Here is a 13,992-nt window from a genome sequence, read left to right as displayed (position 1 = left end):
ATGCATGTGGAGGCAGGATATGTTACATATATAATATAATATATAACATATATTATATATACACATTATGTCAGGGGTTGTGTGTGTGTGTGTGTGTGTATATATATATATATATTATGTCAGGGTGTGTGTGTGTGTGTGTGTGTGTGTGTATATATATAATATACCCTGCCTCCACATGCTTGTTATATATATATATATATATATATATATAGTAATATATGGTATATTACCATATATAATATATATTACTACATATATATGGTAAATCTCTATGTCTTCCTCTTAATTTTTCTGTGAAACTGAAACTGCCCTAAAAAATTCAAGTCCTACAAAAATGAAAATGAGTTAAAGTACTTTTTTTTTTTTTTTTTGAACAGTCTCGCTCTGTCGCTCAGGCTGGAGTGCAATGGCGCGATCTCGGCTCACTGCAAGCTCCGCCTCCTGGGTTCACTCCATTCTCCTGCCTCAGCCTCCGGAGTAGCTGGGACTACAGGCACCCGCCACCGCGCCCAGCTAATTTTTTTTTTTTTTAGTAGAGACGCGGTTTCACCGTGTTAGCCAGGATGGTCTCGATCTCCTGACCTCGTGATCCGCTCGTCTCGGCTTCCCAAAGTGCTGAGATTACAGGCTTGCAGGCGTGAGCCACCGCGCCCGGCCGAGTTAAAGTACTTTTTCTGGAACAAAGAAACTTAGCATAAATAGTTAAAATATTAAGAGTTGTAATTAAGGGAAATTTCAGCTCAATATGACTTCAACAGTTTAAAAAATGTATTATTTCACATAAGACCATGGAGAGAGGAATTGGAAGCCCCAGAATTGATTGGGTCAGAAATTGAAAATGATACTATCAGTGACCCAGGTTTGAATGTCTCTCTCCACAGCATTGACTTCACTAATGGATGTGACCTGGTTGGCAGCAGTAGCTTGCACAACATGCTTGTTTGCAGTGAGTAGTAGAGAGAAGGTTTTGCTTTCCCAGAAACTCTGAAAAAGGTCATCAAACCTAAATTTCCTTAGCCTTCTTCTTCCATGAGCAAATCACTAGCAGATGATTGCTAGCAAGGTGTTACTATTACAATGAACCCCTAAGTGTCAGAGAAAGAGTTAGTTTGGGGAAATATCCTCTCCACCACAATCTTAGTCATTGAAGTCAATTTAACAATATATTGAAATATTTTTCTTAGAAGTTTAAAGTTCCATTAAAGAGTAACAATTACAGAAATTATAGGTAGCCTTTAGTTCTACAAGTGACATCTCAAAAGGGAGATGATTCATCAATTTCAAACTTTCCCTGCAAGTAATACTGGATGAAAATTAACTTGGCCAACATAATTAATAATCATGGGTTATTAATTACTTCTGCAAGGTGGGTGTGCTGATTTTAAAAGGCTTGAATAAAACATAAATTTCCTTAATTTGATACTGTAAATGGAGTAATTTGGTGATGTAAATGGTAATATGTAAGGGATTTTTGCTTCAGATCTTACAACTTAAAATATTTTTCTAAAATTAGTTTTTGTACCATCTCTCCAGCATGTTCCAGCCTTTATCAGTCAGTCCAGGCTTCTATAACAAAATATCATGGACTGAATTGCTTACACAACAGACATTTCTCACAATTGTAGAAGCTGGAAAGTGCAAGATTAAGGTGCTAGCAAATTTGTTTCCTGGTGAGGGTCCTCTTCCGGGCTTGCTGTATCCTCACATAGCAGATAGAGAGAGAAAGAGAGAGAGAGAGAGCACTCTATAGACTCTCTTCCTGTTCTTATAAGGACACTAATTCCGTTGATGAGGGCCCTATGCTCATGACTTTGTCTAAACCTAATTAATTCTCAAAGGCCTCACTTCCCAATACTGTCACATTGTGGGGTAGGGCTTTAACATATGAAATTTGAGGGAAAAGGAATGTTCAGTCTAGAACAAAGCCCCATACATTTCAAAAAGCTGTGGGACAGGAGGGAATGGGGATGGTATTCAATGGTACCACATCCAAGCAAGTCTTGTATGGTTAAAACAAATCAATATAATAACATGAAATTTTACACAGAAACCTATCTGATTATAAACTGTATGCTTACCATAATCAACACTGATGTACATTGTTTTAAAAATACTTAATAGTGTTCTTTGTTTAACCAAACAATAGAGGTATTAACTAGTTTCCTAGTGCTGCCAAAAGAAATTGCTACAAAATTTGTGGCTTAAAATAGTAAAAAAAGAAAAAAAATTCTCAATTATAGAGGCCAGAAGACCAAAATCAAGGTGGAGGCAGAGCCATACACCCTCTGACGGCTCTAGGGAAGAATCCTTCCTTGCCTCTTCTAGATTCTGTTGGCTCCTGGCACTCCTTGGCTTGTGACAGCATAACTCCAACCTTAGTCTCTATCTTCACATGACCTTGCTTGTGTTTCTGTGTCCCAAATACCCATGACTCACTCTAAATTCAGGATGATCTCACCCTGAGATCTTTATTATATCTGTAAAGCTCCTATTTCAAAATAAGGTGATATTTACAGGTACTGGAATGGGAGAGGGTCTAGGACTCAGACGCACCCTTATGAGGATACTACATGACCCATTACAAGGCACAAAGTAATTACCATAGGCAAACCGCTGATGAGAGCTCACTCCAGTTTGGAATATATTCATGTTTCCATATAAGAGAAAAATTCATCCCTGGTTCAGTTCATCTTGGCATCAGTACACGGATGGGATTCAGAGACATGTAGGTGTGGAATACCAGATTCCACCAAACTTAAAAAGCTGGCATACTAAGTTGATAAAACGATGTAGAGTGTGAAGTTGAGTTGAGAATGCTTATGCCATACAGTTTATGTATCTTATAATAGCCTTAATCACACTTCCAGTAATTTTCCCTATCATTGGGTGCTAAAAAATAAAATTAAAGAATTAGAATAAAAAATATATATATACCTCTTTGAGTGGAAGAATGCTGTCAGCACATTTTGTTATTTTATTCCATTGTATAAAGTCTCGGTAGTGCTCTCTTCATAAATGTGTTGAAGGTTTGGCTAAATTGTATCAAATTTGTGATTAAATACAAATGTGAATAGTATAAAACATTACAAAGGACAATCTGAATACTATGCTATACCAATTTTACAATTTTACAATGACTTACAGATGCCATAAATATTTACTTTAAGGGAGTAAAATAAGTTATAAAGTCATATTTAAGAACACCTAAATCCTTGAATAAATTTAAAATGGTATTATTATTTACGTATGAAGTCAGCTGACTATTGAAAGCTTATTTTTCAATAACAGAAATATATGCATTATCTAAAACACATATTCCAATATTTTCAAGAAACAAAATACTGAATTAAATTATCTGTATTTAAATGTTTATTTTGGTTATAAAGGTCCATGAAAATGCTTAAAATTGGTTTATTTGATCTAAAAAGTTAATAGCAATTTTTATTTTTAATGTATCATTTTTCCCATTTATTGTTTTCTAAATAACACTTTCATCCTAAGTAGATGACTGAAGAAACAAAATGCTGTTTTCTTTACGAACTCGTAATACATTTCAATAATAATTAGGATGCTGTTCAAGGTGTTGAAGTGTACAATATAACAAATTGCATTTGCAGTTGAATAGTAGCAGAGTAGAAGCTGAAAAAATAAATCATGTATAAAAGTAGCTTAAAACAGATGATAGCAGAGCAAAGAGTTTCCTGCCAACGCCCTCTAAAAATCGGTCCTTTTAGGCTTTTGTGCTGGTATTAGGTTTCAGTTATAGACAAGACATATATATATGTGACCTTTTCCTTTCCTTTTCTATACCCTGGGGTCAAAGTCTCCTATAAAAGGACATTTGCACCAAGTATTTTCAGCTGGAGTAGGAGGAAAGGGCAGGAGTAGGAGAGCAGTATGATCACCTCTTGCCAATGCAATTTCACTTGATTTGCAACTGGTGTTTAGTAAAGAATTTTGCTATGCAAAAATAGTGTCTTAATTGGATTATTGTAAGACAAAGTATGCATTTTTAATGTCGTATTAGTATTTTATTAATAAGGCTAGGGAAACCCACTAAATCCCTATACTAAAGTGAATTTGATTCTCCCATAGAAACTTAAATCCTCAGTGTGACACAACTCAGTCCTTCTACTGCAGCAGCTCTTTTATAAAAGCCTCCCAAAGCTCCAAGAAGGAACAAAGAATGTGACCCAGTAAGCTCACACCATAAGTCTATATTGCAGAAACCTTTGTTCAACAAAACTGCAGATGCTCTGTTGAATCCACTGGAGATTGTCCTGATACTAAGGACAAGTATGTAAGTTAATGATTTTATTAATTTTAACATTTTAAAATGTTTTCCTTTGGGGAATTCTAATTTATATATCAATATTCAGGTAATATTTGCTGAAAACACAAACAGTCAAAATGATCTGCATTCACATTCTCATTTTCTATTATAACATAGAGACAACTACTTTATTATCTTTTTAGAAACTTTTGCAACTACTTTAGTTTCTTCCTAATTTTATAAATTAATCTATCTCAAAAAACTTGGCCCAAAAGAGTTAGTAATAGCTGTCAACTTCAGAAAAACTAAAACTTTAAAGATGACTTTTAGAAGGAAAATGAAATACAGAAATAATGTATCTCATTTGCACTTAATTAAAAATAATATGAATTGTCACTATTTCCTATGAAAACATCTCATGCCAATTTCTTTTATTAAGCTTGGATTTAAAAGATAATTTAGTTGAAACTGGTAGAATCTTAGTAAAATTATAACAATAAGAAATTTTTATATTATACATATAATATAGAATAATCATATTTAATTCCACTTGTTAGTTTATTCTGATTCTTTAGCAGGTTGATTCATAATTTGCCAACTTGGGTCAGAAATATTTTCTATTCTTAGCTTTTGCTGTCAGCAGAGATAATAATAATACAGAACCTGAACAACAAAGGATTATGTATTGTTTCAATTTAATTAAAGTTGATTCCCTGCTTTAAGAGAGACTCACATTTTATATTTTATTTTTTTTATTAAAAAGAGAATGTAGATATTTGCTTTTCCAAATTTCCCATAAGATAAGAAAAACATATTTTTTCTTAATTACACCCTTGCTAAGTCATGCTAGCTGCCTGACCTTGGACAAAATTCTTAACCTCTTTGTGTCTCATTTTCAATAACTGTGAATTAAAGATGATTATTGTAGTATATTTCTCAAGGGATTATTGTGGGAACTAAATAAAATAATCCTCTAAAATGCTTAGTACAGATTCTGGAACATCATAAGCAGAAAAAATTAATAACTATTTTTTTAACTATATTATATGACATACTTTTTCTTTATGATCTTCAGGGGAATTTCTACTTATCTTAAAAACATATATAGATATTGATCTGCGGAGAAATATATCTCTGTTATTTCAAGGTCTGTGGATTACATAATGATCAACTCTGATTGATTTACTGTTTGATTAAACAAAATTTTAAAGCAAAACTAAAAATATTGCAGCTATGTTGGTTTTAACCATTCTAAACTCTGATGAAATTTGCTTTCTGTTTGGTTTGTGACTAGGAAGCTAAACATTATTTATTAGTAATAAAAATTTCTGGTGTCTAAAGAAATTCAAGAGGAAAACCATTAGATTCTATTACAATTAAATCTGTTAAGATTTAATTGCAAATATGTAGATAGTGCAAATATATCTTTGGGTACAATTTTTGTTCTCATTAAGTTACCCATTTTACATTTTGAGAACACTAATAGATGAAATACTTGTCAAAGAGAAGATCTAAGATGGTTTAAAGAAAATATTAAATGAAATCAAACTTACTTGTCAAGCTCCATAGCACAACTTACAAGTCATAAATCACACTCTGTGTGACAGCTACGGGAGGGATCTGGGTAGTAAAACAAAATGATGGATTTTATCTTTCCTGTTTTTGAGTTATTAAGAACTAGTTGAACTATAGAATGACGTGAAAGACTCACATCAGGGATGGGAGGTTATTTGCAGAAACTCTTGTTTTCTTTATCACATTGTCAATATTTGACATTTCCATATGACTAATTGTTGAACTAATTTTTGATTTCTTATGCCAACTGTTAATAATCCTCTTTTCATTCAGAAAACAATCACTTTTTGTCTATCTGTAAATTGACATTTGTTATGTTAATTTGTTTTTGCTTATTACAAGGATTACCTTTTATTTACAACAAAGCATTCACAGATTGCCGTGATGGATTTGTCTTCAATCAAATCTCATAAACATTAATTGAATTATTGAAAGGAATTTGTAAATTATTGTGTTTTTTTCTAAAATAGTAACATCAGCGTGTATATTACGTTAATTTTGTTTACGGTTTTTTGCTTCACATTAACTATATTTAACTGACTTTAACAGCCTTAGATAACTCCAAAACATCAATTACTTTACTTGGATTTATTAATTCATTCAAATATATATATATATATAATGAGAATCTATCATTTGCCAGGCACTGGGCTAGGCAAAGGTAAGAGTGAATGGCAAAATCATGTTCTCCCTGTTTTCCTGTAATGTGTTGTCTGGCTAAAGGCTGTGAAGGAAGAGTAATGTGAAGGAAGAGTATTCGAAGGATATAAGAAAAGGGATCACACAATTAACTGTATGTAGGCTGTTCTTAGGGAAGATTTCTTCTGGAGGTGGTACTTGGCCTTCAGTCAGAAGCATGATTTGATATTTGATGTTAACCAGGTAATTGAGGGGATAAGGTGCTTTCTCAGCAGAAAAGACATAGTAGGCAAAGTCTTTAAGATAAAAGCATAGTGAAAGCTCAAAACTAAAAGGAGGCTTGGGTGTCTGGACTCCAGAGACAGGAAGAGTTTAGAGAGTCTAGCAGAGATAGCAGAGAAGACTTTATCTTTTTTTTTCTGTAGCAACCATCTTTCCTGTGAAAAATTCCCTCTCCTAGTACTTTAGTTCTGTGGATCCAAAATTTATAGCATTCTTCTACCACCACAGGGGTGAGTATATAATAAAAAATGTCAGTTATTCAAGTATGTAAGAAACTTGAAAGTCATCACTCCCATCCTTACAACAAGAAAAATGCTGTACAAACAGACTATCAACAACTCATTTTAGATCCATTAGAGGACTGAGGTCACAGAAAAACTGCTGCGCCCACCCTAAATCCCCATTAAATTAGAGAGATGGGAAAATGCAAAGAATTATAGCCTAGTGGAGCAAAAGCCCAGGAGCCCCCACAGGAGTTAGTAATGGAGTAGAAAACTTTAATATGCAGTTGATTAATTTCTGGAAGCACATTGTGGACAAGCTTGAGAATTAACTTTGAAAAATATATAACATGATAATACTAATTAAAAGAAAGCTGGATTAATATATTAATTTCCAACAAAAAGACTTCAGAGAAAGAACAATTATAGGGGGATACAAAGGGGTATTACATAGTAACAAAGGATTTAATTTTCCAAGAAAACGTAACAATCCTTAATGTGTTTGCATGTAACAGGCTGTCAAAACACATGAGGTGAAAACAGATAGAACTGCAGGAACAGACAGATAAATCCACTATGATAATTGGAGGTGTTAACACCTCTCTATCAATAATGAATAGAACCAGCAGGTGGAAAATCAGTAAGGGCATAGTTCAACTGAATAGCACCAAAATCAGTGAGTCCCAGTCTCTCTTCCCGGAAGTTGATTCTTGAGCAGGGACGTCAGGAGTAGAGTGATGTCCAGGCCATATTTAATAACAAATAAATCAGAGTCTGGACATGATATGTAGGCATTCGTTTCTTTAAAAAAAAATTGCCCCAGGTGATTCCATTGTGAATCTAATGTTGAGAAGAAATATGTGCAGTCGTTTTCTTTGAATTCATTCTGCCTGAGATATCTAGAGTTGTTCTGGTTGTTGACATCGTTTTGTTTAGCAATTCATTCATTCAATTTTGTGAATTAACTTTCAAGAAATGCCTTTTCCTTGTTATAAAATTACATTGTTTTATGTTATTATAATTTTTAAATTGTGATAAAAGTTGCTATCTCAATGTTGGTCAAAGGAAACAAAATTTCAGTTGACAGGAGAAATAAGTTTCAGAGATCTATTGTACATTATGTAATAGATCTATAGTGATTGTAGTTGTAGTGACTATGGAAATAGTGACTATAGTTAATAACAATAGCATATAATTTAAAATAACTTAAAAATTATTGAGAGTAGATTTTAACTATTCTACATATTATTTTCTTTGTGATATATGCATCTTCTGTCATCTTCCATGGGAAATTTGACATTGCAACCTCACCTGAGGCCATCACTTTTTCCTTGATGCTACGAACCATCCTGTTATGTGTTTGTACCATATCAGTAGTGAAACTGACAGTGCTCTGATAGGGGTATACTCTTTTATCCCAATCTATATCCCAATACCCAATAGCCCAGTATTCTTAGAATCCAGTTGTATTCATACTCTCCTGGATCATTTCTGTTCCTTTGTAATATAGTCCCTTTCTTCCCTTACAGGCTCATATGACATTAACAGACAAGACACTTTTCAGAAAGACAGGTAAGTCATTTGTTAAAATCTCACTACTGTTGTTTAACAGAAACATATATATGCATGTATATGTGTGTACTGTATGGAAAAAGTGGAATTAGAGTTTATCTAGAAAAGAAAAAATTACCTCATCTAAGTGCAGAAATGAATAATACTTAAACCATACCATACAATTCTCTATCATATTTCCACAGATAAGTCAAAAATTTAAAAAATCTTATTGTTCATGCATAAATGCAGAAAACAATATCTCTAGTATATGTTTGTGTTCTATTGTACTTTCACAGAAGGTGTTTGATACTTAATACTGTGTTTATTAAGAAAAATCTTTGCAATGGTTATGGAATTAAAATTTCATGTAAAAATGATTATGTAGATCAAGAAAAGTTGCAATTTTCTGGATTCCTGATATTTTAAATAAAAGTAGTTTCCAAAGGCGATTTTTTTATTATTTTAATTTTTAATGGAAATTTTCACAATATAACCATCCTATATAATTTTATTTTTCAACTATTATTTTTGTCAACTCATTATTTATTAAGAAACAATGACTTTTAGATACTAATTTATAATTCTTACGTTATAATTAAAAATCAGAGTTCGTTGAATAAAATATCTGATTTATGACTCCCTAAGTCAACATTAAATTACTTTATTGCTATATCATGTTTTCTGATGTTCATAACTCTAGGTTTATATAGTAATTTCACTCCACTTTCTTTTTTTTTTTTTTTGAGACGGAGTCTCCCTCTGTGGCCCAGGCTGGAGTGCAGTGGTGCGATCTCGGGCTCACTGCAAGCTCCGCCTCCTGGGTTCACGCCATTCTCCTGCCTCAGCCTCCTGAGTAGCTGGGACTACAGGCACCCGCCACCGCGCCCGGCTAATTTTTTGTATTTTTAGTAGAGATGGGGTTTCACCGTGTTAGCCAATATGGTCTCGATCTCCTGACCTTGTGATCCGCCCGCCTCGGCCTCCCAAAGTGCTGGGATTACAGGCGTGAGCCACCGCACCCGGCCAATTTCACTCCACTTTCATTGGGGGGAGATTTGCAGTTAATTCCAATTTGAATAATATCTTTGTAACTAAATTTATCACGAAGCTCAACATGACAATTTAGTATAGTTAATCTCCATTTCGTTTTACTTTTGCACAACTTTTCCAGTGAAGTGATCCTCTGAGATTAGGACTAGTTGAAATCGTAGGGCAAATATATAAATTGTTTAGAAGGAAGCCTTAAGATGCTTTAACTCATGCAATGAATTTGAACATAGAAATGAGAGGAAAGCTTGGATAATTTTATAATGAAAGGCTAAGCATGTTTTCCCCTCAAGAGGAAAAATTTAAATTTCAAACTGAATATTACTCAAACATTAATCATTTAACTGTATAGCATGGGACATTTTGGGCATGGCAAATTCTAACGGAGGAGACTGCTAGCAATTCTCAGCCACACAGAAATCTGACTGCTTAATTTTGAAAGCTGCAGAGCTATTAGTAAATTTTTTTATCTTGTTTTTACATGTAACTCAGAAACTACTCTGAAAAACTCTCTTAATGCTTTTTACGGCCGGGTGCGGTGGCTGGAGCCTGTAATCCAAGCACTTTGGGAGGCCGAGGTGGGTGGATCACCTGAGATCTGGAGTTCGAGACCAGCCTGGCCAACAAGGTGAAACCCCACCTCTATTAAAAATACAAAAATTAGCTGGGTGTGGTGGCACACACCTGTACTCCCAGCTACTTGAGAGGTTGAGGCAGGAGAATCGCTTGAACTCGGGAGACGGAGGTTGCAGTGAGCCAATATTGCGCCATTGCACTCCAGCCTGGGCAACAAGAGCGAAATTCCATCTCAAAAAATAAATAAATAAATAAATAAATAAATAAATAAATAAATAAATATTAAAAAAATAGTTTTTACTTTATTTCTCCCAAAATATGTCAAAAATGGGATAATGGCACACTTGCTTTTTCTGTAGTCAAAACCATTTTGTAAAAAAACTTGAAATGTACAGTGTAGAATCCAAGGGCAGAAAATAAAGGCTGAACATAGAACTAAGAACCTGTCCAACATCAAGGCAGTGGCTTTTTATCAATTTCTCTCACTCCAGGGCAACATTTATTTTCTTACTCTTGTACTCTTTGTATCTCCATTGCTTGCCTGTGGATCAATAATATTATTCTTTATAACATTATGGAGGCTATATGGCTTTGTGCATCCAGTATGCATCATTATTATAACCTTCATCTCAATTAGAATTCTCAAGTGAAAGAGGCTTATTGATTTCCAACCAATAAATGGATAACTTCCACCTAAATCAAGCGTTCATTCATTGTCCAATCCACTGGACCAGGTGGGCTTGAATCATACATGGAAGCAAACTTCCTAACATGCTGAATGGGTTGGCTCTCATAGAAGGTATTCTTGAGTGGGCAGGTTTCCTTACAAAACATAGTATACTAAGACTGTGGTATTCAGACAGCTCTTCAATCTTCAAGGGAACTGTGGAAGTAAACCAGGGGTGACATGGATTATCAAATATTGTGGATCAGGTGAGCTCTAGGCTTCTCAATGCAAGGTAATTACCCTGCACTTTCATCTATTTTATAATATTGCCTTTATTTTTTTCCATGAAAGAGTAAGGTTTGGAAAAACAAGAAAAACACGGTTAAAATTATTTCTCTAGTGAATTGGTTGTGTTTATAAATCTTTAGCTTAGCTTGAGTCCCCCTTTGTGAAATGTATAAATCCTTTTGATACATTAACAAACACTTGGAAAATGACTTAACTTATTAAGTTGAATTCTCTAATATAAGGGTTATAAGTGAGGGCTTAATTATTCAGCATTACTGAATTCAATATATCTGCCCTTTCAGTTTGCCTAGGGTGACAAATACATTTCCCATTACAGCTTGCCAATGTAACACAGCCTTATTTCATTTTTGTTGTAAATAGAATCACATTCTAATATGTTTTAGCTGAAAACAGCAAAGTATATATTCAACTACTTCCCAATAGGGAAAATTTTTTAAAAAAGTTATTTCTTTAGCCCAGAGCTTTATTTTCCTTTTACATAACAGAAAAATACTTGGTGTGAAATAAAACCTTCTTACACGTAATGAGACCCCATAGAATTTTAATGAAAGACAATTGAAGACCCATTTTTAAATAAGCCATTGGGAAGAATTAATATAATTAAGAATAGAAAAAAACTAGATAAAGTTACAAGAACAACCTAGGAACATTTCTATATTTCTTCCTCATTTTCTGGAGTTCTAAAAGATGTTGAAACATTTTGACAGCTATAGAAAATGACCTAGGGACAAATATACTCTCTATTCCTGACATAAAATGATATGCTTATTGTGTTTCTCATAAAACTCAGCATAAAACTATATACCTAATAGTTATTTAAAAGGAGTTCCTAAAAATAAATATATTCATTATTAATATGTGACATGACTGAGTTACTTTTGAAAAACTACGAATTATTCAACATACTTTAACATAGGATTTAGTATCAATATGGTATCCATTTCTTGATTCTGTTTTTCATAGTGCACTTAAATATATATGTTAATACTTTTGAATAAGTGCATTATGCTATGAAATGTTTTAATGAGAAAAATGAATCTATACAAAGCAACTTCATTTATATTTTGTTCCTGTCACGTTACATTGCTGATATTTTGTATTATACTAGACATGACTCATTTTTAAATATGTAATTGTATATGAAGTTCTCAGTGTTAATGTCTGGAGGATACGGAATAAAAACAGAAGAAAAGTTAAAAAATTAAAAGTAAACTATATTTTGCATATGAATAAGAATATTACAAATACCATATTTATATACTATGTTTATATATCTTTACACTATGCCAAAAGGTATATATGGCATATATGCATATATACCTTTTTTATGCAGAGAAATAATATCTCTGCATAAGCATAAAATCAAGATACATAATATTTTAAAATGTTTTTCATTGAAGTGTAATTGACATAAACTGAACATATCCAGTGTATTTTTAAAGTTTTGGCATATTGGTACACGAGAAAACACCATGGCAATCAAGATCATGAACATATTCACTTCCCTGAAGTTATTTTGTGTCTTTAGTAATCGCTTCTTCCCCTCTTCCCTACTCAATCTCCATGCAACTACTAATCTATTTCTGATACTACAGAATGGTTTACACTTGGTAGAATTTTATGTAAATGGAGTCACAAAATCTATTCTTTTTTGTCTGTCTTTTGCACTCAACATAACTACTCTGACTTTCGCCTATGTTGATACTGGTAGCAATAGTTCATTCTTTTTTTAATTAATAGATTTTATTTTTAGAACAATTTTACGTTTATAGTAGAAACTAACAAAGCAGAGAGAATTTCCATACACTTTCTTCTACTCTCCATATTCTTTATGATTAATATCTTGGATTAGTGTGGTACATTCGTTATAATTGATGCATCAATATTGACATATTATAAATGAAAGTCCATACATTAGTTTTATATTAGGGTTCACTCTTGACATTATACATTTCATGCGTTTGGACAAATGCATATGTCATGTAACCACTACTACAATATTATAAGAATAGTTTTACTTTCTTAAAAATTTCTGTGCTTGATTTATTCATCCCTTCCCTTGGAGACTACTGGAAATTCTGATCTTTTTACAGTTTTCCCCTTTTTAAGAATGTTGTATCATTGGAATTATACAGTGTACAGCCTTTTCAGATTAGCTTCTTTCACTAAGTTGTATGCATTTTAGGTTCTTGCATGTTTTGTATGGTTTGATAGCTTATTTTTAAATCACTGAATATCCCATTTTATAGGTATGCCAGTTTATTGAACCATTACTCACCTGTTGGGGGCATCTGGTAGCTACCAAGTTTTGTTATGAGAAAAGCTATTTTAAGGAGTCATGTGACTCATTTGGATAGGAGTGAAGTTTTTTTGACTCATTTGGATAGGAGTGAAGTTACTAGTCCATGTGGTAAGACTACATTTAACTTTGTAAGAAACTGCAAAGCTATCTTCTAACGTGGCTGTGCCATTTTGCATTCCCACAAGCAATAAATGAGAGTTTCCCTTGCTCTTTATCTTCAACACAATTTAGTGTTTTCAGTGTTCTGGATTTTAGCCATTTTAGTAGGCATGCGGTGGTATCTCGTTCGAATGAGCGATTCTCTAATAATACATGATGTTGAGCATACTTCATTCGCTTATTTGCCATCAATATATTTTCCTCGGTGAAATGTCTGTTCAGATCTCCTGTCCATTTTTTAACTGGATTATTTATCTTTTTTTTTTCTTTTTGAGTTTTAAGAGTTCTGTGGAGTGCTCATACCAGTTCTTTATTGGATACATGTTTTGTAAATATTGTCTCCCAGTCTTGGCTTGTTTTTTAAATATTAACTATGACTTTCTTA

At 33.2% G+C, this 13,992-nt stretch overlaps 1 long non-coding RNA gene across 1 annotated transcript in view; it reads left to right on the top strand.

Annotated features, from left to right (window-relative positions):
* Positions 1-13,992, top strand: part of NUTM2A-AS1 (NUTM2A antisense RNA 1) — a 103,892-nt gene that overhangs the window by 7,364 nt on the left and 82,536 nt on the right. Inside the window, exon 3 of the long non-coding RNA NR_024397.1 lies at positions 8,523-8,565. This is a non-coding gene — a long non-coding RNA (NUTM2A antisense RNA 1). The remainder of the gene's footprint in view (positions 1-8,522; positions 8,566-13,992) is intronic.

Source organism: Homo sapiens, chromosome 10 (genome assembly GCF_000001405.40).
Source record: "Homo sapiens chromosome 10, GRCh38.p14 Primary Assembly".
NCBI lineage: Eukaryota > Metazoa > Chordata > Mammalia > Primates > Hominidae > Homo > Homo sapiens.
The sequence above is the reverse complement of the archived record's forward strand: the minus strand, read 5'-3'. Positions and strand labels throughout refer to the sequence as shown.